Source organism: Homo sapiens, chromosome 17 (assembly GCF_000001405.40).
Source record: "Homo sapiens chromosome 17, GRCh38.p14 Primary Assembly".
Classification (NCBI taxonomy): Eukaryota; Metazoa; Chordata; class Mammalia; order Primates; family Hominidae; genus Homo; species Homo sapiens.
In genome coordinates, this window is record NC_000017.11 from 50,094,737 (window position 1) to 50,118,705 (window position 23,969).

Consider the following 23,969-nt stretch of genomic DNA (forward strand, 5'->3'; position numbering starts at 1 on the left):
CTTTTCCTGAGCCGCTTGGATCTTTGTGGAAGCGGGTGGGCTGCATATATACAGGACGGATTCGTATAGGCTTGCACCCTGGTTCCGAATTTTGCAAATATTCGCAGTCTGGGTCACTGTCATCCGGACTGGGAATCCCCAAGACCCGTTAAGGGAGGATAGGTAACGATCATGACAGGTGAAACAGGTACCTTTGAGTTGGAGAAAAGGGATTGGTTGAAAGCTACCTAGACAACTCTGGAAAGGAAGGGTTAAAAGGAGCCTGCAGGTGAAGGAGATGCGAGGGGGTAGCAAGGGAAAGGCAGGCGTGGAAGAGGAAGCGAAAGGGCTGGCGGGGCTCTGGGAAGGAAGGGGTTAACCCGGGCTTCGCCCCGCGGAGGAAAGGGAGGAGTGAACACAGGGGAGGTGGGAACTCGGCGCGGCCTCCCCAAAACAACAGGCCGCCCCGGCAAAGCGTGGGTTAAGGGGGCGGGCCCGGGGGAAGCCACGTGCCGGGGCGGAAGGCTATTGGTTCGCCCGGAGTTGTTTGTGAGTGGCCATTGGCGACGTCGAGGCGCCATGACGAGCCGATTGGCTGGGCGTTGGAATGCCCGCCAGGGCAAGGGTAGGGAGGAGGCGGCCGAACCGCGTCGCTGGGCCGAAAGGTGCGCGAGCGCTGCCCGCGCGGGGACCACAACCAAAGTCGCGGCCGCCGCAGCCATGCGCTGGGTGTGGGCGCTGCTGAAGAATGCGTCCCTGGCAGGGGCGCCCAAGTACATAGAGCACTTCAGCAAGTTCTCCCCGTCCCCGCTGTCCATGAAGCAGTTTCTGGACTTCGGTACGGAGTGGGCGGGAGGCGGCTGGCAGCGGAGGCCGGCGGGGCGCTGGGAGGGGCAGCCGGGGGCTAGGGGGACGGAGGAGAAGAAAGGCCCCGAGTGACAGAGAAGGGTTGTTTGGAAAGGTACAGGCAGGAAAGAGTTAATGGGGAAGCAGGAACCGGCCGGGGCCTCTCGACGGGGCTGCTGATGGGAATGGGGGGCATTTACAAGGACGGTCCCGAGGTTTCTTCGTGGGCCTCATGAAGGGTCTTGAAGAGTAAGGGGCAGTGAAGCTGTGATGTTACTGCAGGAAGGGAGTAGGGTGGTATCCAGACGCGAAAGGGTTAATGGGAGTTGTCCTCATGACTGGAGGAGTAGGGGCCCCTCCTCCCACCAGAGGAAACCGGGGGTCTGCTGGTGGGAGTGAGGAGGCAGGGTTTAGAGGTGCAGCCATCTGTAGAGAGACCTGGACTGGGCATGAAGGGTCAGACACCCCTGGGCAGAGGGTGAGATTAAGCCAGGGGCAGTTGGGGAAGGGGGCTCTTTCAGAAGATGCCATTGGGAGACAGTGCCCTGACTGGTAGACATCCACCCACAGAAGGAGCTGGACCCTAGCTGCCCCAGTGGGCAAGGACACTTGAAGATCAAATCTGTTCCGGCCTGGCAGCCTCTCCCCAGCTGGGCAGGGGCCCCAGGCACCGTGATGTGGAGTCAAGCCGCCTATACCTCCCTTGGCTGCCCCAGGGCTGCTAGGTCAGGATCGCCCACTACCAGCAACCTGGGGGTGGCCCTGGGGCAGGAGGGAGGCTGTGCCAACGTGGCAGCTGAAATGGGCATTGTGTGGGCCCTGTCTGTCTATGTGGTATTTCCATGGTGCCAGCTGGGGACTGGGGGTGGGGGGCAGTCTCTCAAGAGTTGAGTTGATAGTGCCTAGCTTGGGTTGCAGCTGCGTCAATGATGGGACGGGAACAGAGAGGTGGCAGCCGAGACATAAGGCACCTGTTCCTCAGGACTTGTCTGCCTGCACCCCTGCCCTGCCTGAGTCTTGAGCCTCCCCCATGTAGGAAAGCCTCCTGGGCCCACCCCTAGCCCCCAGCAGCTGTCCCCACAAACTGCACCCTAATTACAGAAACATCACAGCTGTGAGGGGCTCACAGTAGAGTTTGGTCAACTTGTAGTACTATGGGGGAAACTGAGACCTTCAAAAGGATGATGGCATGGCCTGGGTGACAGAGTTGGAAGCAGAGCCTGATGGACTGGAACCCAGGGCCCCTGACCCTGGGCCAAGGCCATATTCGGTCCCCCACCCTTTCCATCTTGACACCAGACAAGGACCGAGGCATTTGGACTCCTGTTCTCAGGCCCGTTTGCCCCATGGATGGGCATTAAGACACAGCAGCCCCACATGGGCATTCAGGCCAGGCTGGGTGAGGTGGGCTGGCCAGAGACAACACTGGGAGCCTGCAGTGGTGGTCTAGCCATAGCCCCCCTCAGCCAGAGCCCAGTCCTAGGTAGGGATGGGTTTCCCAGGCTCCTTTGTCCCCTGGAATCAGCCCCTCAAAGTGAGTGTGCTGGGAGGGAAGGAAAGAGAAGTGAGGTGACTGAGGCCAGAGGCAGCTCCAAATGGGCCCAGGAGTGGCCCTGTCCACTGTGGTTAAAGGCAAGCAGGGTTCAGCTGGGGATGAGGAGAGGATGACACCTCCTGAAGTGTTAGGCATGGGGTGTAGGTGTTTGAGCCCTGCAGGGGATGGGGAGCCTTGCTGTGTGCCCCGGGCAGGTCACTTGCTCTCTGAGCCCCCTGTTAATGAAGGGTTTAGCTGACCTGGCCGAGACATCCTTTGGCTTTCATAGTCTGTGGCTCTGTGGCTCACCCCTCTTTCTCCTGCCAGGATCCAGCAATGCCTGTGAGAAAACCTCCTTCACCTTCCTCAGGCAGGAGCTGCCTGTGCGCCTGGCCAACATCATGAAAGAGATCAACCTGCTTCCCGACCGAGTGCTGAGCACACCCTCCGTGCAGCTGGTGCAGAGCTGGTGAGACCCCTGGCTCAGTCCCTGCACCTCCCACTCCATCGCCAGTGTCCCTGGGCTCAGGGATGGCATCTCCAAGCTTTTAGCAGCTTTGAGGGTGGGGTGGGGACAGACAGGAGACACCAAAGCCCCAAGCGCTTGGAGTTGCCTAGGGTCACGTGGGAATCTGAGGCCAGAGCAGGACTGAGGTCAAGCTCCTAGTCTCTGTGTCTAGCCCTCTTCTTACCACCCACCTTTCTCTGGAAACACAGGATCCACCTAGGAAAGCATGGTTTTCACAGCCAAAACCCCAATTCAGGCTGATGTCAGCATTAGCCAGCAGCCCAGACCTGGAACTCCAGTAACTGTTAGGCAGTATTTATTTGGGGGTAACTTTTTGGGAAGCAGAAACAAGAAGTAAGTTTTCAAATACATTATATAACCCAAGCTGCAAGACAGACTGTTTTGGATGTTGGAAAATACTCAGATACACACAAGGATGGCACAGTACCTTCCCGAAGAGCTTTGGAGGGGCAAAGACCAAACGTTTATTGCGCACTGCAGCAGGAACAGAGGGAAAGGCTCAGCAGAGTTCACTCAAGAACTCAAGTTAAGTAACTGGATGAAATTAGCCAAAGGCCAGTCACGTGAAGAATAAACAAGGGTGTCCCTTGTCACTGGGCATGTAAATAGCTAATCCTCATTGACTTTGGTGGCACCCTTGCAGAAATCTTGGGCTGGTTCTTTTGGACTTGCAGTATGATATAGTTGTGATTTCCCTGTAGACTGAGGAGCACGTGCCCACATGTATTCTGAGCTCAAAGCCATGCGAAGTCACAGCAGCTGCCCTCAGAGGCCTGTGATCTTGAGGGAAAAATAATATTCACCCAGGCAGGGTGAACTGAGTCCAGCATAGTGCTAGGAGCAGGGAGCTGCCAAAGAGTTCGTTTTATTTAAATTAGGAATCCAAACATTATTTTAAAAGAACACTGATATTTTTCCCTCATTGTGGAAGTGTAACAGGTTCACTTGACACTTGCAAAATGCACAATAGTAGATAGAAGAAAATGCCAACCACTCCCCTCCACCCCCTAACCGAACACAGTTCAGTTTCGTCAGATGTAGTGGTGCCTTTCCAGCGCTGTTTTCTATGCATGGACCTGTGGATATGGGGCTTATTCTAATTAAATGAGATATGGTGAGGGGCAGTGTTGTACACACAAGGCTAGGGGTGTAGTGGGTGCACCATGAATGTTTGTTGAATGACACGTTGTGGGGCAGTTGCTATGGACATGCAGAGGAGGTGACTTGTCACTGGACCTTACAGGGTACCTAGGCAAGCTGAGAGCTAAAAGGAAGGGAAGGGCATTCCAGGCTAAAGGAATAGCCTGGGCAAAGGTGTGGAGACAGGAAGGGGCCTGGCTAAGGGAGCTGAGAACTGACTTTCTGGAGATTGTGCTGTTAGTGTGGGCTGTGAGGAAGGGGTGGAGGCATGAGGCACAGAGCCTGATCTTCATGGAGCCCAACCAGGTCACCCCTTGCTGTGCCTTGCCTCTCGGAGGTCCAGGACCTCTGAGCCAACCAACACTTCCCATCGTGGGTGGTGTGGAGTGGTGGGAAGGAGACAGAAGGTACCATCTGTTCTCCCTGGCCCTCCTCCGGCTCTATCCGGCTGCCTGACCTGGCTGCCTCTCCACCTGGTCCCTGACTCCAGGGCAGGACTTCTCAGGCCCCTCCCTGGACACCGTGTTCCTGGGAGAGCTGAGGGATGCAGGAGGAGGGCAGGGGCCTGCTGAGCTTCCCATGACTCCCCCAGGGGCCCCTGCAGAGTCCCTTCCTGAAACTCAGTGACACAGATAAGAGGTTGGCCTGACTTATTCTTCCGCAAAGCTTGCAAGTAATGTCAAGTAACAGCAGGAGGGAATGAAGTTAGACAAGAGAGAACACTTCCTCAATGAAGGATTCAGCTTAGGCCGGGCGCGGTGGCTCACGCCTGTAATCCCAGCACTTTGGGAGGCCGAGGCGGGCGGATCACAAGGTCAGGAGATCGAGACCATCCTGGCTAACACGGTGAAACTCCATCTCTACTAAAAATATAAAAAATTAGCCGGGCGCGGTGGCGGGCACCTGTAGTCCCAGCTACTCGGGAGGCTGAGGCAGGAGAATGGCGTGAACCCGGGAGGCGGAGCTTGCAGTGAGCTGAGATTGTGCCACTGCACTCCAGCCTGGGCGACAGAGCGAGACTCCGTCTCAAAAATGAAAGAAAGAAAGATTCAGCTTAGAGGAGAGCAGGCCGAGGGATTGCTAAAGCATCCCAACGCGCTGAAGAGACAGCCTGCCAAGAATGTTTCCAGAGAGAATGAGCATTGGCTACAGCAAGAGAGACTGAGGTGTGAAGACAAGAAGGACTTCCCGACAGGGTTGAGGTGGCTGCCTGTAAGAGAGTGGAGACCTCTTTCTCCAGGAGCAACAGCCTGCCAGCTGGAATGATGGAGATGGGCAGGTTCTAGGTGCCTGAGAGGAGGGGGGAGACTTTACCAGGGAGCTTGGCAAGAGGGCCTCTAGCCTGAGTTTGATGAGTAAGAAGCAAACCCTCCTTTCTGGAAAACACAAGAGCCCTCGGCAGATGCAGTTATTAGTGGTCATGGTTCATCTGTGGTCATAGAAATGGAGTTTCTACTCAGCTGGGGAGAGGTTCTAGGCAGAGTCACTGGGCAAGGTGAGAATTCCTGGTTCTAAATAAACCTGATACATTTCAACTGGACAGACTTGTGATAGTGGGCCCTGTTTTGGTGGAGACTGGACGGGGAGGGAAAGTCCCAGGTTTGGCCTCAGCATGTGTGACTTTGAAGCTTCATCCTGGGCAAGCCACATGGCATCTCTGAGCCTCAGCTTCCTCATGTGTAAAAGGGGGACCCATTGTGTTTGTAAGGGCCAAAGGCCAGTGCTAGATGTGAAAAGTGTGCAGAACTCTACCAATACAAGGCATATCCCCAGGCTGCCGGGCAGCAACACCTCCAGCCCACAGAGGATGTAATTGTGGTGTGGCTTCTTGGGCAAGGTAGTAATAAATCATGATAATAACAAAAGCAAACACCTCCAAAGGCTGGCTGTGTCCCAGGAGCTGTCCTAAGTGTCTACGCGTATTAACTCATTTCATCTTCGCAACCTTATGAGGTAGTCTTTGCTATCATCCCATTTTCTAGATGAGAAACTGAGGTTCAGAGAGGTGAAGAACCTTATCTGAGATCACCCAGGGACTAGGTGGTGGAATTGGGATTCGAACCCAGCTGTTGGATTTGGAGACTGGATTCTTGAAGGGAAAGGAGGGAGCCTGCACTCTGGGCAGTGATGTGGAGTCAGAGATTTCCAAGTTCATGGTGCAAGTCTGTGGGAGAGCAGAACTCACTTTACAAAATTGTTGACAGCCGGTGTTGTTAGAGACGGAAAGGGACAACCCCGGCTCCTCTCCAGGCGTGGAGTCTGTGGGGATGTGCTTCCAGAAAATGCAGGGTTAAGCAGGAGCTGCAGAGTAGAATCAAATGACAATGACTCACTGCTGTCACTAACAGGCTCTTTGTGGGGGCTGTAGGTGGGAGGCGATATGGCCGGCACCTTCGCACAAACCTCCCTTGCCCGTCAGCAAGGTGTGTGGACCCCATACAGGGGGTGTGGCTTGGGTGCCCAGGACCTGCTAAAGCCACACGAGCTCTCCAAACCCGTCAGCCGCTCCTTGCATGACCGAGCAGGACCGACCACTTACTGCGCATGTACTCGAGGCATCATCTTTTCTGTACACCCAGGCCCATGAGGTGCTTACTCCCATGAACCCCATTTTGCAAATGGGGACCCGAGGGACTCGGTGGCCTCTTTAGGGCACAATCAGCAGCGGAACCCAAACCTGCCTGGCTCAGAGGCTCCGGAGGCGGGACACCGCCACCTCTCCCCCAAGTGCAGCGAGCACCCTCCTCCCCAGCCTTTGCCTTGTTTACACCCTGCTCCCCAGCAGCTGTGGATACGAGTGCACAGGGCACACCCTCGCACACACCCACAGGCATGCACATGCCACATGCACACAATTACACACACTCCCCCGCTGGCTCAGCACCCCCTCTGCTCCCACACAGGGCTGCAGGGCCCTCCTCCCACTCACTCACCCTCTCCTCCCGCCCCCACCGCCCATTATCAGCCCCACACTCTCAGCAAGCCTCCTGGCTTCTGCCTGCATCCACCCCTCCTCCTTCTCATTCCTGGGGCTCTGGACTGGCTCTGGAGCCCTGGAAAGCAGGGTTTGGGTGGATCTCCACATTACCTTGGGCTGGGCTTGGGAGCTCCGGATCTCACCAAGGGACTCCTGGGGGCCTTGATTACTGCAGAGGTCAGCAGGCCCAGAGACCCCAGCCTCCCTGCAGGTCCTGGGGAGGGGTGGGGGCAATGCCTCTCCCGCCTGTTGGTGCCTGTCTGTCACTGCACCACTGCTTCAGGCCTCCCTTATATAAGCCCAGTTCTCTCTCTGGCCTGCAAGGGGTGGGCAGCCCAGAGGCCAGCGCCACTCGTCCCCAATCTCCCTTCTTAGGATCAAGAACCGGCCCAAGGTTGACATTTGGTGCACCAGGCCCCTGAGGGGCTTCAGGGCAAGGCCAGGGACCTCGGGGAAAATCCTCATCCTCTCCCCTCCATTCCAAGAGTAGCCTGGGCCCCTTGCCCTGGAGGAGCCCTGGCCCTGTGAGGGAGGCTGGCAGGCGCTGCCCGCTGTCACTCCATGCCGGTGCCCTTTGCTCCACTTCAGTGGCCACGTGACCAGGCCCCATTCCTGCCCTCTAGGGTTGTTGAGCAGCCACAAAAGGGGTGGTGCCAGCAGCTGGGGCACTCTCCCTAAGTGAGACTGGGACTTTGACCATGCCCACCCCCACCCACTGCCCAGCACAGTCAGGAAGTGGCTTAGCCTCCCAGCTCCCACCCGCTTCATCCCCACCTGCCTCCTGGGAAGGGGCCTCAGGCCCCACTCTGCAGTGGGTCTCCTCCCCCTCCTCTCCCCACCTGCCCCTAGCACTGCCTGTGTGCGGGCCCTCTCTCCCCTAAGAATCATATGAGCATGAAGGTCTATTTTGGGTGCGTTTAGGGAGCAAGGGATTCGGAGCCACATAGGCCTGGATGAGAGAATCTCAGCTCTGTGTGTTAACTTCCTCATCTGTAAAATGGGTCCAGCAGTAGCGCCCACCTCTGGGGTTCTTGTGGAGGTGAAAGTGGGGCAGGAGGGAAGCACAGGGTGGACCTGGCTATTGGTACCCAGTAAATGCCACCATCACCATCAGCAGCGGCATCACCGTCAGGGCCCGTGTTGGCCGTTGGCCACGTGGTGTAGACTTGGAGTCTGCAAGAGCTAGGTTTGAATCCCAACCTGCTGCTTACTATGTGGCCTGGGGCATATCACTAACCTCTCAGTGCTGGTCTCGTTGTCTGCAAAAACAGGGAAATACCTTGTGCTCATCAAGGCTGTTGGCAGATGAGAGACCCTGTGTGGGACTCGGCACAAGTGGGTGTTAGTGGTCGCTATGTTCTTCTCCAGGGAGACAGGTGAGGTCTTAGGAGTGCCAGCCTGATTGTCTGCTGGGGTGGCAGGGATGGTGATGGGGGCTGAGAGAAAGGCTGATCTTTTCTGCTGTTGGGGCCCCCAGCCCCATCAGCAGCCACAGCTCCTCCTATCGGGCTCTGTGCAGAGCTCTGGGTAGGGAGGGGTGGGCGGTGAGCTCTGGGCCTGAGACAGCCCCCTTCGTGTGGCAGTGGGGCAGGTCTCCAGGGCACAGGGGCTCCAACATGCTGTGATTCAGAGCCTACAAGCAGTGGGAGAGTATCAGATGCTGCCTGGGGGCTCAGAGGATGCATGCAGCTGTTGACAGTGTTTGAGCCACCAGCCATAATAAGAGCAAGCATTAGAGAGTGCTCACTATGTGCTAGGCACTGTGCTAATCATCACATGGAATTCTCACCACAAAGCAGTCATAAATAGATATAACAATCCCCATTTTCCTAATGAGCAAACTCAGGCCCAGAGAGGTTCCATGACTTACCCAGAGCCACACAGCTCCAAGTGCTTAAAGAGCCAGGTCTGGGTCCAGAGCTGGTTCTTTCACTCTCTTCTCTGTCAGGCAAGAGCGAGAAGAGCAGCAATACTAGGTTTAAGGGGAAGGGCATTCCTAGCAGAGGGCACTGTGTGAACAGAAGCGTGGAGGTGAGAGTCGAGCAGAATCAGCACTCTGGAGTGGCAAGAGCGCTGGAGACTCGGGGGCTTCATCATCCCACTTACTAGCTATGGGGCTGCTTACGCCTCCCTGGGGGAGGCTGTGCGTGGGGCTGATTCCTGCCTGTCTGCCTGTTACAGGTTACAGTGAAGGCCAGAGCACTGTGGACATGGGAATGAGTCCTCGTGTGGAGGGGCCTTTTCTAGAAATACTGTTGGGCCCCTGGGGCCCTTGGCACTGCAGGGCTCTAGGTAGCGCCCCCCCTTCCTCCTGGTTATAAGTGTTTCTGCCAGAGAGAGGCTCTTCCTGCCTTCCCCAAAGGAACAAGCCACAGACTGGACATGTTAGCAGGGAAACAGGTCATGGCTCCCCAGGGCACGGGGCACAGTGGCTCCAGCTTGGTACCATCTGCCACCACAGGTGGACCTGACTCCCTTGCAGAAGGAGGCCTGCTGCTGTCCCTGAGTTCAGGGCTTATTTTTTGGGGGGACAGAGTCTTGCTCTGTCACCCAGGCTGGAGTGCAATAGAGCGATCTCGGCTCACTGCAACCATTGCCTCCCAGGTTCAAGCGATTCTCCTACCTCAGCCTCCCGAGTAGCTGGGATTACAGGCGTGCACCACCATGCCCAGCTAATTTTTGCATGTTTAGTAGAGACAGGTTTTTGCCATGTTGGCCAGGCTGGTCTTGAACTCCTGACCTCAGGTGATTCGCCCACCTCAGCCTCCCAGAGTGCTGGGATTACAGGTGTGAGCCACCACACCTGGCTAAGTTCAGGGATTCTTGATGCTCCTTTTAGAGCATCAAGCTCTTCTCTTAGCCCAGGGAAAACTGGCCTCCCCATCAGGCCTGTAGATGGGAGGAGGTGGCAGGGCATCACCCACTGCTACCTGGCCTTTTGCAGTAGAGTGAGCTTCTCTGGACTCTCCATGGGCCCCAGCCCCACCTGGGGACAGAGCCAGGCACGCCCACCCCACCTTTGGGTCCTTCCCACCTGCCATTTTAGAATCCACTTGCCGAGGCAGGTGCCTGGCCCAGATCACCCCAGCTCAGGGGTCACTCTGGGAGGCCCCGTGCTGTCTCCTCTGCCGGGGGTCACTCCAGGAGGCCCTGTGCTGGCCCTTCTGCCATTGTGCCCACTGGATGCAACAACACCCCGGCGGGGAGAAACATTAGGAGCTGTTTCCACACTGGGGCTCAGAGAAGTTGATGCACCTCCCTGCCTTCCCCCACTGCAGGCGCTAGGTCCAGTCTCCCTGCCCCATCTCAGCCTCAGTCTCCTGATCTGTGAGTCCTCTTAGATGGGATCATCTCCAAGCCCCTTCTGAGAGGACTATTCTAGGATTCCAAAGCAAAGGTGCTAAACGGGGGACCAGCAAATTTGAAGTTTTCTTGCATAACTGACTGGGTTGTCAGGGAGACTCACATACAAATGAAATGGATGGAGAAAAATAGTGAGGCGGCTTGTCGGCAGCTCTGTGTGGGGCCCGCGTAGGAGCAGGACAAGAGCAAGGCCCAGTTGAATGAAGTGGGTGAGGAGGGGCTAGCCACCTGAAGCTGAGGCTGTGTCCCCTCCCGCCCCCACACAGGTATGTCCAGAGCCTCCTGGACATCATGGAGTTCCTGGACAAGGATCCCGAGGACCATCGCACCCTGAGCCAGTGAGTGGGGGCCCTGGGTGGGGCAGGAAGGCAGGTGTTGGCCAGGGGCATCTGGGGTTGCAGCCCCTGGGGCAGAAGTACAGCAGGATGGAAGAAAAGACCCCTGCCTTCAGAAACATCCAGTCTGAGTGGGGAGACAGACTCTGCTTCAGGGAGCCCCAAGTTTGATGGGAGAGACATGGACTCCATTCTCACTGTTCCCTGAGCCCGGTGGGCAAGACCCAGGCCCTGCCATGGGGAGGATGAGAACTCTGGGCTTTCGAGTGGGAAGCCTGCCGGCAGGCAGCTAAAAGATCAGAGTGGGCTTTGGGAGGAGCAGGGAGGGCACTGGGAGTCCATCGGATTGGGAAGGGTAGAGCGGGTGAAGACACCGTGGAGAGGGGAGTCAGAAGCGGAGAAGAGTCTGGGGGTGTCCCATGTGAACATCTGCCCTGCCCCACAGGTTCACTGACGCCCTGGTCACCATCCGGAACCGGCACAACGACGTGGTGCCCACCATGGCACAAGGCGTGCTTGAGTACAAGGACACCTACGGCGATGACCCCGTCTCCAACCAGAACATCCAGTACTTCCTGGACCGCTTCTACCTCAGCCGCATCTCCATCCGCATGCTCATCAACCAGCACAGTGGGTGCCGGCCACAGCGGCGGGGAGCGGGCGGTGGGGGGGGCGGTGCTGGGGCCCAGGGCCGGGCTGCTGAGGGGACCTAGACCACTCTTCAGAACCCCACAAAGGGAGTCTTTGAATAGTTACTCCAGTAACTATGGAGTTAATGGCTCCAACATGGAAAAATAAAATTTTTCTTTCTCATTGATTTTCCATTTCAAAACGTTTTGTTTTCAGTGTTTGCAAAATGTAAAATTATGTCACATCTTTAAAAGAATGTTTAATTTAGTATTTATAAAAACTCTCATTATGTTCAAAAACAATTTGTTGTTTAGAGTTTCTTATTCCAGGAGGATTCACTATGATTTTTGAGAAGTTGTAGCCAGTCATAAATTAAACAAGTTCCTCATGCTCAAATAATTTCCAAAGCAAGGTGGTAAGAGTTCTCTTAGAATGTTATAGTCAAAGAAAAGAATAAATGCAATGTGGAGATGTGATGTGGGGAGAGACCTCTGAAAAGACGTCTGTTTCAGGTTTGCAAAGGTTTAAAAACGGCCTAAGCCAGGGCTGGAGGGGTCAGGGGTCAGGGAAGGGAGGACAGAAGCGGGGGAGTGGGGCAGCTTTAGGACTGGAGCCTACAGAGGCATTGGAGGTGAAAGTAGAAAGAGGAGGAAAGCCCGGGGGAAGAGGGAGCGCTGGGACAGACTGCAGCCCAGCCAACAGCATCCTCCCTTCCTGCCTGCAGCCCTCATCTTTGATGGCAGCACCAACCCAGCCCATCCCAAACACATCGGCAGCATCGACCCCAACTGCAACGTCTCTGAGGTGGTCAAAGGTGAGCCATTCCCACGGTGCCTGGCCCGCAGAGAAGCCCCGGGGACCCCTCCAAGCTTACCTGGCCAGAGGGTGACTCGTTCCTCAGTAAGGGGTGCCATGGATTTAATGCTGGTGGTCCCCAGTATCAATGTCAGGAGGACTGCCTGCTGGGTGGGCCACCCATGCCCTGAATGACCCCATCTTCTCTCAGATGCCTACGACATGGCTAAGCTCCTGTGTGACAAGTATTACATGGCCTCACCTGACCTGGAGATCCAGGAGATCAATGGTGAGTGAGCGGGGCTGTGTATGTGTCTGTCTTGGGGCTGGGGACGTGGCAGGGCAAGGTGAGACGGGGAGTCAGGAGATGGACTGTTTTCTAGACAGGGGAGAAGCAGAGTTATTATATTATTAATTCATTTGATAAATATTTGGGCTGGGCACAGTGGCTCACACCTGTAATCTCAGCACTTTGGGAAGCTAAGGCAGGCCAATCACTTGAGGTCAGGAGTTTGAGACCGGCCTCGGCAACATGGTGAAACCCTGTCTCTACTAAAAATACAAAAATTAGCCGGGCATGATGGCACATGCTTATAATCCCAGCTACTTGGAAGGCTGAGACAGGAGAATCACTTGAACCCGGGAGGCTGAGACTGCCGTGAGCTGAGATGCTACCACTGCACTCCAGCCTGGGTGACAGAGCGAGACTTCATCTCAAACAAATAAGAAATTGAGTGAATGAATGAATGAAAGAGTAAGCAAGACAGAAATGGTCCCCATTCTCGTGGACCTTACATTTTTGGTGCTAGGGAGATTGCGGAATGGAGCCTTCAGCCAATTAACAAGTAAATAAACAAGACCATCTCAGATCATGACAAGTGATGGGAAGGAAATAAAATGGGGTAACTCAACAGGGGTAGGGAGGAGGGGCATGTTAGATGGTGTATCAGCTTGGCTGCTTTCCTAGAACCCCAATACCAGTGGCTTACTTAAGAGGGAGGTTTCCCTCTCGCCAGCCCCTTGCTGGACAGGTCAGGGCTGGCTCCCCACCCCTGATTCAGTTCTAGCCTGGAGGAAGGGAACAAGGGTGTGGAAAGCAGGGCCCAAGAATTGAATGCATCACTTCCATGAGTCACCAGCTACCCCAGCTCAAGGGAGGCTGGGGATTTAGTCTCTCGCTGGGCAGCCATGTACTCAGAACTTTGTGGGAGGGGGTGCCTCCTTTGGGTAAGGTGGTTGAGCAGTGACCTCCTGACGGTTTCCTGACCCTTGGTCTTGACTTGCCCTGTAGCAGCCAACTCCAAACAGCCGATTCACATGGTCTACGTCCCCTCCCACCTCTACCACATGCTCTTTGAGCTCTTCAAGGTGAGGAGGCTGGGAGCCGGTGCTTTGCGGGGAGCGTGAGTAGGGCTGGCTTCTCCCATGCATCTCTTACCTCTGCCCCTCCGCAGAATGCCATGAGGGCGACTGTGGAAAGCCATGAGTCCAGCCTCATTCTCCCACCCATCAAGGTCATGGTGGCCTTGGGTGAGGAAGATCTGTCCATCAAGGTATGTGACCCTTTGACCTTGGGGACCAGGGAGCAGTAGTGGGGGCTTCCCTCCTGCCAGGAGACGGGCTTTCCTTTTCTCCTACATGGTGGGCAGATCCTGGGGGTGGGGAAGACCATGAGAAGGTCAGGGGTATTGGGCGGGGTGGGGAAAATGAGCTGTAAAGAATCCCTGACACATCCCATCTCTCCCAGATGAGTGACCGAGGTGGGGGTGTTCCCTTGAGGAAGATTGAGCGACTCTTCAGCTACATGTACTCCACAGCACCCACCCCCCAGCCTGGCACCGGGGGAACGCCGCTGGTGAGATGGCTTCACCCCAGCCCCTCCCACCTCCTGAGGGAGGCTTCTCTCCTCACTCACTTCCTTATCTCCCTGCTCACTCAGCTTCTGTGTGGCCGTCTGTGACAGTCACCTGTCTTGAATCTGGGCCCCCGCACCTCCCACATCTCCCCAGTCTGCACAGATCTCACCTGTCGGATGTCTCTCTGTCACCTTTCCTCCATCTTCCCTCTCTTCTGTAGCTCCCAAACCCCCAATTTCTACCTTTCTCCTGGTGTTGTCCAACTTGTCAGCACCTCCCTGTTAGAAAACTTGAGACTCAAAGGAGCCGTGGGGCCTGCTCTGACTTCCTGGCCCCTGAGCGGAACTCCTCTCTCTGCCCAAGCCTCCCTCCCGCATTCATGATTGCCCCATTCACCCCACACACACTTCTTACCTCAGTGTCCCCTCCCACATGTCCCCTCCCAGCTCTGGGACCCCTGCCATGTGACCCCAGCTCCACACCCTTCCCTCCCTGCATCAGTCCCTGCAGCTCCAGGAGGCCCCTGCCAGCCTCCTCATCCTCACTGCCTTCCTGCCCCGCTGCAGGCTGGCTTTGGTTATGGGCTCCCCATTTCCCGCCTCTACGCCAAGTACTTCCAGGGAGACCTGCAGCTCTTCTCCATGGAAGGCTTTGGGACCGATGCTGTCATCTATCTCAAGGTGAGGGCCCTTCCCGCAGAGCCCAGCTGGAGAAGAGCTTTGCTGATAGGACCTGGGCAGCCTTGGCCAGCTGCGAGCTTTCCTTTCCATCCCCCCAGTCCTTCCCTGGCCCCAGACTCTGAGAATCCAAGCAAAGCTACAGTTCCTCAACCTGAAGAACCCTCAACCCCCAGACACGCACTGCTTGTCAGGGAATTTAGGGGAGTCTGTGGTCTATGATTAAGACCCCTGTGCTGGGAACCCTTGACTTGTTAGACCCAGAAGGAAGGGGACACCCTAGGTCTTGCCATTCAGTTCAGAGGAGAAGACTGAGGCCCGGAGTCCGTGACTTGCTCAGGGTCACACAGCCCAGCCTCCTCCCCCTCCCTCTCCCTCCCTTAGAGGGAGCTGCTTGCTTGAATGGGCAGGAGCGGGACACAGGAGGGACCACCCTTTTGTGGTCTTTCCAGGCCCCCGTGTCTGGCAGCTGGGCTGCCGCTGAGCTGGGGTGGGGTGGTCTGCTGAGGAGTGGACAAGGCACAGGGAGGTGGGAGGGGCTGACCCTGACACTCCCCAGGCCCTGTCCACGGACTCGGTGGAGCGCCTGCCTGTCTACAACAAGTCAGCCTGGCGCCACTACCAGACCATCCAGGAGGCCGGCGACTGGTGTGTGCCCAGCACGGAGCCCAAGAACACGTCCACGTACCGCGTCAGCTAAGGGCCGCCGTGCATCTGCACCTGAGAGGACGGACTGCCGCCTCTGGGTCCCCCCACCGTGGTGCCCCTCACCATCCTCCTGGGGGAGCAGGGGGTGGGTTCTCCCTGATGACCAGGTTCTGTCTCTATGGAAGTCACTGCGGTGATAGGTCTGTGATGGTCCCTAAGTGCCAGTCCATCTCTGTGGAGACCCCTCGGTGGCCTCCCTATCTCTGTGGGCGATGCCTGAGGGTTAGGGATGTCTCCACCCTGATGGGGTGTCCCAGAGACATTTTCCCATGGCAGTCCTCCTCTCTGAGACCAGGGCTGTCACTTTTCTGCCAGGGGTACTGGGTCCCCCTCAGCACCCTCCACAGCACAGGCCTTCCAAGTGGATGTCCCGTTGCCTTATTCCCCCAGCCCACAAAGGCACCCTGGCCTTGGCCTGCTGAAGTGTTAGGAAGAGGGTGGGTGCCCTCCAGACCTGGGGACTGAGTGGGGAAAGGAGTTACACCCGTGAGTGGGGAATGAGGCTGGTCCTGCAGCCTCTCCCTCCGCTCAGGGCTTGAAGGTCGGTGGCGGAGGGGGTGGCTCTCACAGGGCCCAACTCTAAAGTGGAAGAACCTTGTTAGACCGAGAGCTTGCCATCCAGCCAAGCTGCTCGAGGCCCTGCAGTGGCCTTGGCAATGTCTGTGCCACCTCCTGAGCCCTCCCAGCATGTCCTCACATGCTCATGCCCACCCGCTCCTCCACAAGCCTAGTCCATCCTGCCTGAGCTCCAGCCCCCAGCCCCCACTGTGCCCAGACATGTGTGCTCAGGGTGGCTTTCTCCCTAGGACCTTCTGTGTATATAGTTAGTTTTATAACCCTGAATGCCCCCACCCTTCCCCTAAGCACACAGGGGTTAAAGCTGTGTGTCCCTCCCAGTGGCTGTGGCAGTGACAGTGACACCCACACCCACAGTAAAGAGGAGACTGAATGAGACTGGCCTGGCTGCATCCCTGGGGGAGGGGACCCACACGTGCGCACGTACACACGCACACTGCGGTGCCCTGTGACCACCACATGACGCACCGGGGACGTCCGGCCCAGCTCAGGACTGTGAGTAAAACACTGGGCAAAGCCATCTGTTCAGAACGCCGGATGGCCCAGCACCTGGTGACAGACCTGTTGTCCCACCATACTCAGGGCCCAGCAGAGTCCGGCCAACCCAACAACTGGAGCAGACAGAAATTCTGGTCACTGGCACATCATAAGGATTTATTGAAATAAATTGAGAACTGCCTCCCCTTCACATGCAGGTGGGCACCCACTATAGCTACTGATGGCTTTAAGGATGTGGGTGCCTTCCAACCTCCCATGGCCCTGCCACCAGGCCCAGATGGTGCCAGTGTCCTCATATCTGTTTCCCTCCGAAGCCCCTCTCCCAGCACAGATAGCAGAGGGGGGATAAGGGCTGAGTCCCAGGTACAGGGTGCTGGCCGTAAGCCACAGCCCCTGGGCAGGAATGAGGGAGCCAGCATGCATTGGTGCCATCTGCCGCTCTGTCTGGGCAGATGGGAGGAGCTGGAGGGGTTTCCAAGCGGGAGCCCCCAGGCCTCATCGGTAACTCTGACCAGTGTCCTGGAAGCGGGACTAGCTGCTGACCAGCGCCACACATGAACACTTCCTCCAAGGACATTTCCTAAAAAGGACACATGCTGTCCCCAGGCTGCTGGTAAACTCCACCCCCATCCAGGGAGCTGGCCCCAGCCCTCAGTGTGGCCCAGGGAAGCAGAGCTTGCACCGCCTGCCAGTTCTGAGCCCACTGATTCCCTGACAATGCCTGGGGCAGATGGGGGAGGGCTGATGAACCTTTCCAATCTCGTAGCTGCCGGGGACCCCCAGGTTTTGCCTCTCTGCCTGGCTGGGGTGAGGGCTGACCAGGTCAGCAGCTCCTAGGCCTTGGCTGGTGGAAGTGGTGTCCTCTGTCCCTATCAGTTCCTGTTTGCTCAGCTCCCAAAGAGGACTTAGGTGCCCTCTGAGGAAGCAGCAGGAAGTGAAGGGAGTCCTGGCTTGGAGAATGGGTCAAAGACCAGGTCTTGAATGGGCCCTGAGAGGCAGACCTGTGTGGTGTCATCTCGCCCCCTGGGACCCACAGGACAGAGGAGGGGAGAGGGAGAAGGGGATGTTCATCCTCCCCTCTTGAGTCCTGGCAAAGACTGCACTCGCCCCAGGCTGCTTTCTCTGCGCTCCTGTTGAGGAGTTTGGCTGGGAGTCTACCCTGAGTGCGACTTGCTGCAGCGCCCACTGGCCTCTTGGGGGAGCAGGACAGAGCTCTCCCACCACACAGCCCCCTGGAAGAGTGGAGAGGAGCCGCTCCCACATGGGCTCCTGCTGAAATGCCCAGCCCAGCTCTGAGCCCTGGGGCCCGGCCTCAGGGCCTCTGGCAGGCAAGCAGGCAGGCAGGCCTCCTAGCTCCCCTCCACCCCAGCCCCACGATGGCCTGAGGGCAATGGGACAGCCTGACCCAGCCTCCCAGACTTGCCTCAGCCCTGGCCTCTCTGCCCTCTCCCCTTCATCTGCTCCTCCCCCAGGAACTCTGTGCCAAACAAGTCCTCAAAATAGGATTTATTACTAGGCCCTCTCCCTGGGGTCTCCCTTTCTGGGGTCTCTGGGTCTAGACCAAGTGACAGGGTAAGAGAGAGCATGTCCCCCCTGAGAGCGTGGGACCAGGCTAGCCCAAGTGCAGCGCCCAGGTCCAGCCTCCCTGGTGAGGCCTGTGCCCGCGGAGCCAGTGGCTGCCCCTGCCGGGTGCCAGCGCCTGTGCACCCTCCCCTAGCTCTTCTTGGCCTCCTGCTCTCGGCGCCGGAGCTTCTCCCGCTGCCGCGCAGCCTTCTCCTGGGCCTTGCGCTCCTTCTCGGCAGCTGCTGCCATCTCCTTCAACTTGCGCTTCACCAGTGCCCGGTCATGAGAGTTGCTGAGCCCCAGGCTCTGGGGAGGAGTCCGGGGTGAGGGAGAGAGTCCCAGAACCTTCCCAGTCCTGGCCTCCCACGCCCAGGCTCCTTTTGCCCCAGGTGTACTCTGTGGAGCTCCAAATCCTCCCTGGAGTGGAGCCTCCGCCTCCCACACCGTGACCTGCCCATGGATCAGAACCCCCAGAGCAAGAATTTGGAATGAGTGTGGTTGGGAAAGATGAGGGTTGGGGGTATTAGGCGCTTCCTCCTCCTCCCCCACCATTCCTCCACTCAGTATTTCAGCCTTGGCCCGGACCTGCCCAACCTCCTGAGGCCCAGAGATGGGGAGTCACTTGCCCAAGGTCACACAGTTAGTGCCCAAGGACCCTCCTCACTTCCAGAGACTTCCTGGGGGCTCTTTTCACCATCCCTGCCCCAAGCAACTCAGCAGAGAGCAGGAGACAGGCCAGGAACCTCCCAGCTTATAGGTCAGAGGCCACCACCCCCTTCCTACAGCCTCCCCCTGCCCACTATTACCACTAGCCTCTGAGACAGAATCAGACCAAGCTGACCAGGGGGAGATGTGGCTTCCCATGATACCAGGACACTCATATGCATCAAGGGTCATCCTAGAGGGCAAGGTCAGCCTGGAGACCAGGGCTGGAGCTTGAAGGTCACACTGAAGTCATGGACTAGAGTTTCAAGTCAAACTAGGGATTCATGCTACAACTCAAAAGATTAGACCAAGGACCTTGCCTAGAGGTCAGAGGTCAGGGTGGTGGCCACAGATGGAGTGAAAAGGTCAGCCCAGGAGGCTGGGCTGAGGGTCAAAGGTCAGGATGAGGGACTTCAAATCCTTGAAAGTCACCTCAAGTAACTGGGCTGGGTCATGGCCCTTCCACTCTGACCCACCTTTAGTTTGCTTCCGTCCAGCTGCAGCAGCTGCGGCCCGTCTACCTGCCGTGCAGCAAACTCAGCAGCATACTGTTCCAGGTTGAGGCTCTGCAGCCACTGGCCCACCTGCTGGCTGGTCCAGTGGTGGACAGGGGGGAGGGGTTCATCCAGGAACTGGGCAGAGACCAAGGAGAGTGAGGGGGAGGCTTGGCCTGTGACCTGAGCACCTTGCAGAGTCAGAGGTCAGGACTCCGTGGGCACCCTGGGCCAGCCTTGCTCACCTCATCTGAAGACTGAGACAGCGTGTGGTAGGGGTAAGAACATTTGGCCTCCTGCCAGGGCCCACTGGGGATCTTGGGGCTGCTGCTGGGGGGCGTGGAGTCATCACTCAGAGTGGATTCCTAGACAGAAAAAGGTGCATGCCACTGAGGAGAGTTCACCCCCAACCCACCATCCCTATCTGGGTGGAGCCGAAGTCCTGGACTAGGCACCAGGAGTTGCTCAGTGCCTCCTGTGCATGAGCCAGGAGCTGGGCCTGCACACAGGACATGATAACTCATGTCAGGCATCAGGACCTGAAGCCTTTGGGAGAGCAGGCAGCCATCTGGAGGACATGGGGCTAGAACCAAGCCAGGTTAGTAGGAATGGAGGCGGTCTCAGGCAAGGTGTCACTTCCTACAGGCAGACCACCGAGATTCCCCCAGGCTGGGTCAGGTGTCTCTGCTATGCGCCTCCCGCCTGGCCTTAGTACCCCAGCTAATAAGTGCCTGATTAGAGGTCTTTATCCTCACTGGACTGTGAGCTCTAGGAGGGCCTGGGTTGTATCTTGTTCATCATGGTGTCCCAGTGACCAGCATAAGGGAAGGAAGAAAGAGAAGGAGGAAAGAAGGAAGTTCCAGGTCCGAAGGGATTCTTTCTTCCCAGAATTCCCAGCTTCTGATTTTCTCCTCTGCCCAGCTGCACGTAAGAAACAGAACCGTAGAACAAGTACTGGGCTGGGGGTTGTAGAGCTTGGCACCTATATCTGTGCCAGTCTGTGGGCAAGCCCCTTCTCTCTGGGCCTTCCTTTGCTCATCTGTACAATGGAGATGAGCATGCCTTCCCTCCCTACTTCACCGAGCCTTTGTGAGAGTAAAGCAGAAACGCATTTGGGGCTTTGTAAACTGTAGAGGGCGCTCTGAACATAAGCAGTTGCTCATCATTGCTTCTCTTACTCGTCTCACATCACATAGGGTTGTAAGCTTTCAGACCACTAGGTTGGGGTCCTGTTTGTCTCTATATCCCCCAGGCCTCACCCTACCAAGCAGGTGGCCCAGCTCCTCACACAGGAGTGGGGTTAGAACTTAACCAGGCAGAAGAGTTAGCAGGAATGAAGGAAGTCTCCAGCTGGGTGAACAGTAGGGAATCAGTGTTTAGTGATTTGTTGAATGCATGAAGCATTGACTGAATCAAGGAATGAACTACTCAGAATATGAAGGAGTGGAAGAGTGAACGAATGAATTCAGAGAATGCATGAAGTAACGGATCACTGCATGGCTCCATGGATGGACAAATTGATTCCAGGAATGTCTGAATCCCAGCCTGAGCCAAGGTGAAGTACGCCCTCATGTCACCTGAGACTGGGGGCCAGTTTGGGGACAAGAAAGGCATGGACTTACCTGGGAAGCTGACTTCTTAGGGCTGAAGCCCTCGTGTTTAGGGGAGCAGGTGGGGGAGGTGGTGCTACCCGAGGATGCTGAGCCCTTGCCGCTGTCCGTGAACCAGGAAAAAGGCAGGAACGGGGAGCCCCCTGACCTGCCGGACCCCTCCACTGACTCCCTGCAGAGAGAGTGTCCAGCATGGGTGTGGGTACAGAGGGGAGGACCAGAGCACATGGGGAGCCAGGGGCGGGAGCTGTGGGTGGGCCGCCATGGGCACCTCTCACCTGCTGCCCATGGACAGTCGGTTGCTGCCTTTCTCCTTCCGGCTCTTGCCCGTGGATGCTCGGCGCAGGGTGACCCTGTGGGGAGGCAGCAGGAAGTGGGGCAGGGCTGCCCACTGTGCTACCCCTTACCCCAGCAGCTCCAAGCCCTGCGATCTAGCCCCGCCTCCACTCACCCCAGGTCCAGGAACTTTCGGCGAGTCTTCTTATCGAGGCCGATGGTGGGGCTGGCGGGCTCAGGAGGACTGGCGTCACGGCTGTCATCTTTCCAGGGAGAGAAGGAAGGAAACTGCCTGTTTGCTGCCCTGCCTGCCTCCTTCGGCTGCCAGTGTGGGGTGGTAGAAATTCTCTTGACTTAGAATCAGGCATCCTGGCTCTGGTGGCCTTCACTAGCTGGGTGTCCTAGGATAAGCCACTTTACCTCTCTGGCCTTCCTCCATTTTAAATATGGGGATAATAACATCTACCTGCTTCATGGGACCTAATGGGATGCTTATGACAGCCTTTTACAAACTATAAAACGTTCCAAAAAGGTAGGAATCACTACCATTTACTCAATTTTATCCTGGCCAACTTTTTTTTTTTTTTTTTTTTTTGAGACAGAGTTTTGCTCTTGTTGCCCAGGCTGGAGTGCAATGGCGTGATCTTGGCTCACTGCAACTTCCACCTCCCGGGTTCAAGCAATTCTCCTGCCTCAGCCTCCTGAGTAGCTGGGATTACAGGCGCCCGCCACCACACCCGGCTAATTTTTTGTGTTTTTAGTTCAGACAGGGTTTCATCATGTTGTCCAGGCTGGTCTCGAACTCCTGACCTCAGGTGATCCACCCGCCTCGGCCTCCCAAAGTGCTGGGATTACAAGCGTGAGCCACTGCACTCGGCCTATCCTGGCCAACATCTAACCAACCTTCCAAACTTGGCTCAAATGTCATTTCCAGGATGTTCCTAGCCAGGCCAAGCATCCTGGTGTATGCTCTCCCGCCATGCTGCCGCACACATTTCCCAAATAGCACTTGTTATAGTTTATAACTAGACATTTAGTTAAGGGATGATTTGATTGGGTTTTTGTTTTGTTTTGTTTTTGAGGCAAGGAGTGATCATAGCTCACTGCAGCTCAAAACTCCCGGGTTCAAGCTATCCTCCCGCCTCAGCCTTCCAAGTAGCTGGTTCTACAGGTGCATACCACGCGGGGCTAATTTTTTAATTTTTTCTGGAGACGGTCTCGCTATGTTGCCCAGGCTGGTCTCGAACTCCTGGGCTCAAGCGATCCTCCATCTCGGCCTCCCAAGGTGTTGGGATTACAGGCGTGAGCCGCCAGCCAGGCCTGATTTGATTGTTTCTCCACTAAACCACTATGATGATAAAGACTGCATGTGTTTGCTCACCTGGGTGTCCCAGAGCCCACAGGATCTGGCACTTAGTAGGCGCTCGGTAAAGAATGAGTGAGCGGCGGCGTTTACTCTTCACCTCCCCCAGCCACCCTGCTCAGCTGCCCCTTCCGCGGCTGCGGTGCGCGCCGGGACCGGGAGGGCTGCTGCGCCCGGGAGCGACCAGCAGGAGGTGCGGCGCTGGCCGCCTCTCACCTTCGCTGTGCGGCTCTGCGCGCGGGTGGCGGCGCACGAAGCTGGGGGAGCTGTCGGAGGAGGGCGCGGAGCGCGGCGGAGAGCAGGAGGCGGCGGCCAGGCCCTCGTGCGACGCAGCGTTGTGCAGGGGCCGGTAGCGTGTGAGCGGCGAGGGCGGCGGCTCGTCCTCGTCCAGGCTGCGCCGCAACCCCGGAGGATCCAGGCAGAAAGAGCCCCCGGCCGGGGACCCCGGGCCTGAGTGCAAAGGCGAGCGCAGCCGGTGCAGGGGGCTCCCGCAGCCATCGGTCACCTGGACGAGGGGGCAGCCGCTCACCGAGAACCCTCCTCCTCCCTTCCCGGAGGAGCTGGGAGACTTTCACCCTGTAAACTGCGGGCCCTGAGGGTCCTTCCGGGGCCTAGAGGGAGGGTTTCCTCATGCCTTAGGCAGCGGGGTGGCTGGAGAGTGAGAGGTGGGAAACAGGAACTTTGAGTCACACAGGCTGGGGCTGAATTCCCCCTCCTTCACTTACTGTGACTTTGCTCCTGGACCTCTCAGGGCCTCAGTTTCCTCAGCTGTAAAATGGGGCTAATAATATCTTCTTTACACAGGATTAAATGAGCCAGAAGTGAACTGCAGCTAACACTTGGCAGCATTACTAGGTCAGGAGTCTGGGGATGTGGTTTCCCTGGAAGAGCACTCTGGAGAGATTATCCAGGGGTGGGAGGAGAGGGAGGGGTGGGAGGGTGTATATGTGTTTTCCTAACTTGCCCCAACCTTGCCTCCGGGCCCATCCGAGCCTTCACCATCCTCCGCGGAGCTGGCACTGTCCCGAAGCCTGGAGCGGGATGGCCGGTGTCTCCGGCCCTTGGCCAACAGTTGGGCCCGGGCCTTGTGTAAACTGCTGTCCAGTCTGGCCGTCTCTGGCACAGCCAAGTCCAGGTCTGCGAACCGGGGGAGGGGAGCAGAGACCAGACACATGAGAGGTGACGGCAAGCCCAGAGGCCCACCTCAGGGGCCACCTGCACCCACACCCCAGGCATTCAACCCGTGTTCTTGAGTGCTGGGAGCACAGACAGATGAAAAACAGGGTGTCTCCCCGTCTCAGGTGGGAGTGGGCGGGTGTGCAGGGGAAGCAGAAATGCCGGCGCTAAAATACAGCGCCGTGTGATGAACCCTCCTGTAGACACGGAGGAACGGCAGCCCTGTTTGGATGCATCAGAGGAGGAAACACCAAAGCTGGGTTTTAACGTCTGGGTAGGAGTCTGTAAGAGATGAGGTGGGCAAAACAGGTATATGCAATGCTAGGAAGTAGGGAAACA

General features: G+C 57.0%; 2 protein-coding genes and 1 long non-coding RNA gene across 8 annotated transcripts in view, besides 10 other annotated features; 1 reads left to right on the forward strand and 2 right to left on the reverse strand.

The window, feature by feature from the left end:
- Positions 1-17,416, forward strand: PDK2 (pyruvate dehydrogenase kinase 2). Of its 4 annotated transcripts, NM_001199898.2 has the most exons (12): positions 1-162; positions 1,396-1,550; positions 2,687-2,828; positions 10,635-10,706; positions 11,149-11,333; positions 12,058-12,147; positions 12,340-12,417; positions 13,420-13,496; positions 13,583-13,681; positions 13,876-13,983; positions 14,551-14,664; positions 15,221-17,416. In NM_001199898.2, exons 3-12 carry the CDS (start codon positions 2,761-2,763, stop codon positions 15,359-15,361), a joined length of 1,032 nt encoding a protein of 343 aa, NP_001186827.1. In that variant the 5' UTR covers positions 1-162; positions 1,396-1,550; positions 2,687-2,760; the 3' UTR covers positions 15,362-17,416. The 4 variants fall into 4 exon arrangements, with proteins under 4 accessions (NP_001186827.1, NP_002602.2, NP_001186829.1 ...); NM_002611.5 differs by lacking the exons at positions 1-162; positions 1,396-1,550 and adding an exon at positions 615-817; NM_001199899.2 differs by lacking the exons at positions 1-162; positions 1,396-1,550 and adding an exon at positions 959-1,074.
- Positions 364-483: a silencer, noted in NCBI's record as "silent region_8679". NCBI's record gives its function as "represses an Ori minimal core promoter by ATAC-STARR-seq in GM12878 lymphoblastoid cells {active_cell/tissue: GM12878}" and the evidence as "EXISTENCE:reporter gene assay evidence [ECO:0000049][PMID:35858748]".
- Positions 1,015-1,530: an enhancer, noted in NCBI's record as "H3K4me1 hESC enhancer chr17:48173115-48173630 (GRCh37/hg19 assembly coordinates)". NCBI's record gives its function as "activates a minimal SCP1, AML or CMV promoter by ChIP-STARR-seq in primed H9 embryonic stem cells {active_cell/tissue: H9 hESC(primed)}" and the evidence as "EXISTENCE:reporter gene assay evidence [ECO:0000049][PMID:30033119]".
- Positions 1,531-2,046: an enhancer, noted in NCBI's record as "H3K4me1 hESC enhancer chr17:48173631-48174146 (GRCh37/hg19 assembly coordinates)". NCBI's record gives its function as "activates a minimal SCP1, AML or CMV promoter by ChIP-STARR-seq in primed H9 embryonic stem cells {active_cell/tissue: H9 hESC(primed)}" and the evidence as "EXISTENCE:reporter gene assay evidence [ECO:0000049][PMID:30033119]".
- Positions 3,162-7,660, reverse strand: PDK2-AS1 (PDK2 antisense RNA 1). The gene is made up of 2 exons (XR_007065842.1): positions 7,117-7,660; positions 3,162-6,329 (listed from the first exon to the last, which is right to left on the reverse strand). It is a non-coding gene; the product is annotated as a PDK2 antisense RNA 1 (long non-coding RNA).
- Positions 6,268-6,877: an enhancer, noted in NCBI's record as "H3K4me1 hESC enhancer chr17:48178368-48178977 (GRCh37/hg19 assembly coordinates)". NCBI's record gives its function as "activates a minimal SCP1, AML or CMV promoter by ChIP-STARR-seq in primed H9 embryonic stem cells {active_cell/tissue: H9 hESC(primed)}" and the evidence as "EXISTENCE:reporter gene assay evidence [ECO:0000049][PMID:30033119]".
- Positions 12,531-13,730: an enhancer, noted in NCBI's record as "MED14-independent group 3 enhancer chr17:48184631-48185830 (GRCh37/hg19 assembly coordinates)". NCBI's record gives its function as "activates an origin of replication core promoter dependent on BRD2, BRD4, P300/CBP and CDK7 cofactors, and independent of MED14, by STARR-seq in HCT116 cells {active_cell/tissue: HCT116}" and the evidence as "EXISTENCE:reporter gene assay evidence [ECO:0000049][PMID:35650434]".
- SAMD14 (sterile alpha motif domain containing 14) overlaps positions 15,304-23,969 on the reverse strand; it is a 20,121-nt gene continuing 11,455 nt past the window's right edge. For 2 of the 3 annotated variants that reach the window (NM_001257359.2, XM_017024322.3), the window contains 8 exons: positions 23,425-23,591; positions 22,671-22,959; positions 21,267-21,354; positions 21,094-21,168; positions 20,828-20,987; positions 19,451-19,570; positions 19,188-19,343; positions 15,304-18,312 (listed from right to left, as the gene is read on the reverse strand). In NM_001257359.2, the coding sequence (NP_001244288.1) occupies positions 18,157-18,312; positions 19,188-19,343; positions 19,451-19,570; positions 20,828-20,987; positions 21,094-21,168; positions 21,267-21,354; positions 22,671-22,959; positions 23,425-23,591 (1,211 nt within the window). In that variant the 3' untranslated portion in view covers positions 15,304-18,156. Of the gene's footprint in view, positions 18,313-19,187; positions 19,344-19,450; positions 19,571-19,620; positions 19,705-20,827; positions 20,988-21,093; positions 21,169-21,266; positions 21,355-22,670; positions 22,960-23,424; positions 23,592-23,969 lie in introns of all 3 variants that reach the window. The other variant, NM_174920.4, reaches the window with a different exon arrangement.
- Positions 17,061-17,746: an enhancer, noted in NCBI's record as "H3K27ac-H3K4me1 hESC enhancer chr17:48189161-48189846 (GRCh37/hg19 assembly coordinates)". NCBI's record gives its function as "activates a minimal SCP1, AML or CMV promoter by ChIP-STARR-seq in primed H9 embryonic stem cells {active_cell/tissue: H9 hESC(primed)}" and the evidence as "EXISTENCE:reporter gene assay evidence [ECO:0000049][PMID:30033119]".
- Positions 17,747-18,432: an enhancer, noted in NCBI's record as "H3K4me1 hESC enhancer chr17:48189847-48190532 (GRCh37/hg19 assembly coordinates)". NCBI's record gives its function as "activates a minimal SCP1, AML or CMV promoter by ChIP-STARR-seq in naive H9 embryonic stem cells {active_cell/tissue: H9 hESC(naive)}" and the evidence as "EXISTENCE:reporter gene assay evidence [ECO:0000049][PMID:30033119]".
- Positions 19,358-19,953: an enhancer, noted in NCBI's record as "H3K4me1 hESC enhancer chr17:48191458-48192053 (GRCh37/hg19 assembly coordinates)". NCBI's record gives its function as "activates a minimal SCP1, AML or CMV promoter by ChIP-STARR-seq in naive H9 embryonic stem cells {active_cell/tissue: H9 hESC(naive)}" and the evidence as "EXISTENCE:reporter gene assay evidence [ECO:0000049][PMID:30033119]".
- Positions 21,123-21,666: an enhancer, noted in NCBI's record as "H3K27ac-H3K4me1 hESC enhancer chr17:48193223-48193766 (GRCh37/hg19 assembly coordinates)". NCBI's record gives its function as "activates a minimal SCP1, AML or CMV promoter by ChIP-STARR-seq in primed H9 embryonic stem cells {active_cell/tissue: H9 hESC(primed)}" and the evidence as "EXISTENCE:reporter gene assay evidence [ECO:0000049][PMID:30033119]".
- Positions 22,509-22,798: a silencer, noted in NCBI's record as "silent region_8680". NCBI's record gives its function as "represses an Ori minimal core promoter by ATAC-STARR-seq in GM12878 lymphoblastoid cells {active_cell/tissue: GM12878}" and the evidence as "EXISTENCE:reporter gene assay evidence [ECO:0000049][PMID:35858748]".

Excerpts from the sequence above, each read along its gene's own strand:
- PDK2 (NM_002611.5), top strand. The coding sequence starts at position 700 with ATGCGCTGGGTGTGGGCGCTGCTGAAGAATGCGTCCCTGGCAGGGGCG. Across the intron at positions 10,707-11,148 it reads GACCATCGCACCCTGAGCCA|GTTCACTGACGCCCTGGTCA; the intron begins GTGAGTGGGGGC and ends CCTGCCCCACAG. Across the intron at positions 13,497-13,582 it reads TGCTCTTTGAGCTCTTCAAG|AATGCCATGAGGGCGACTGT; the intron begins GTGAGGAGGCTG and ends GCCCCTCCGCAG.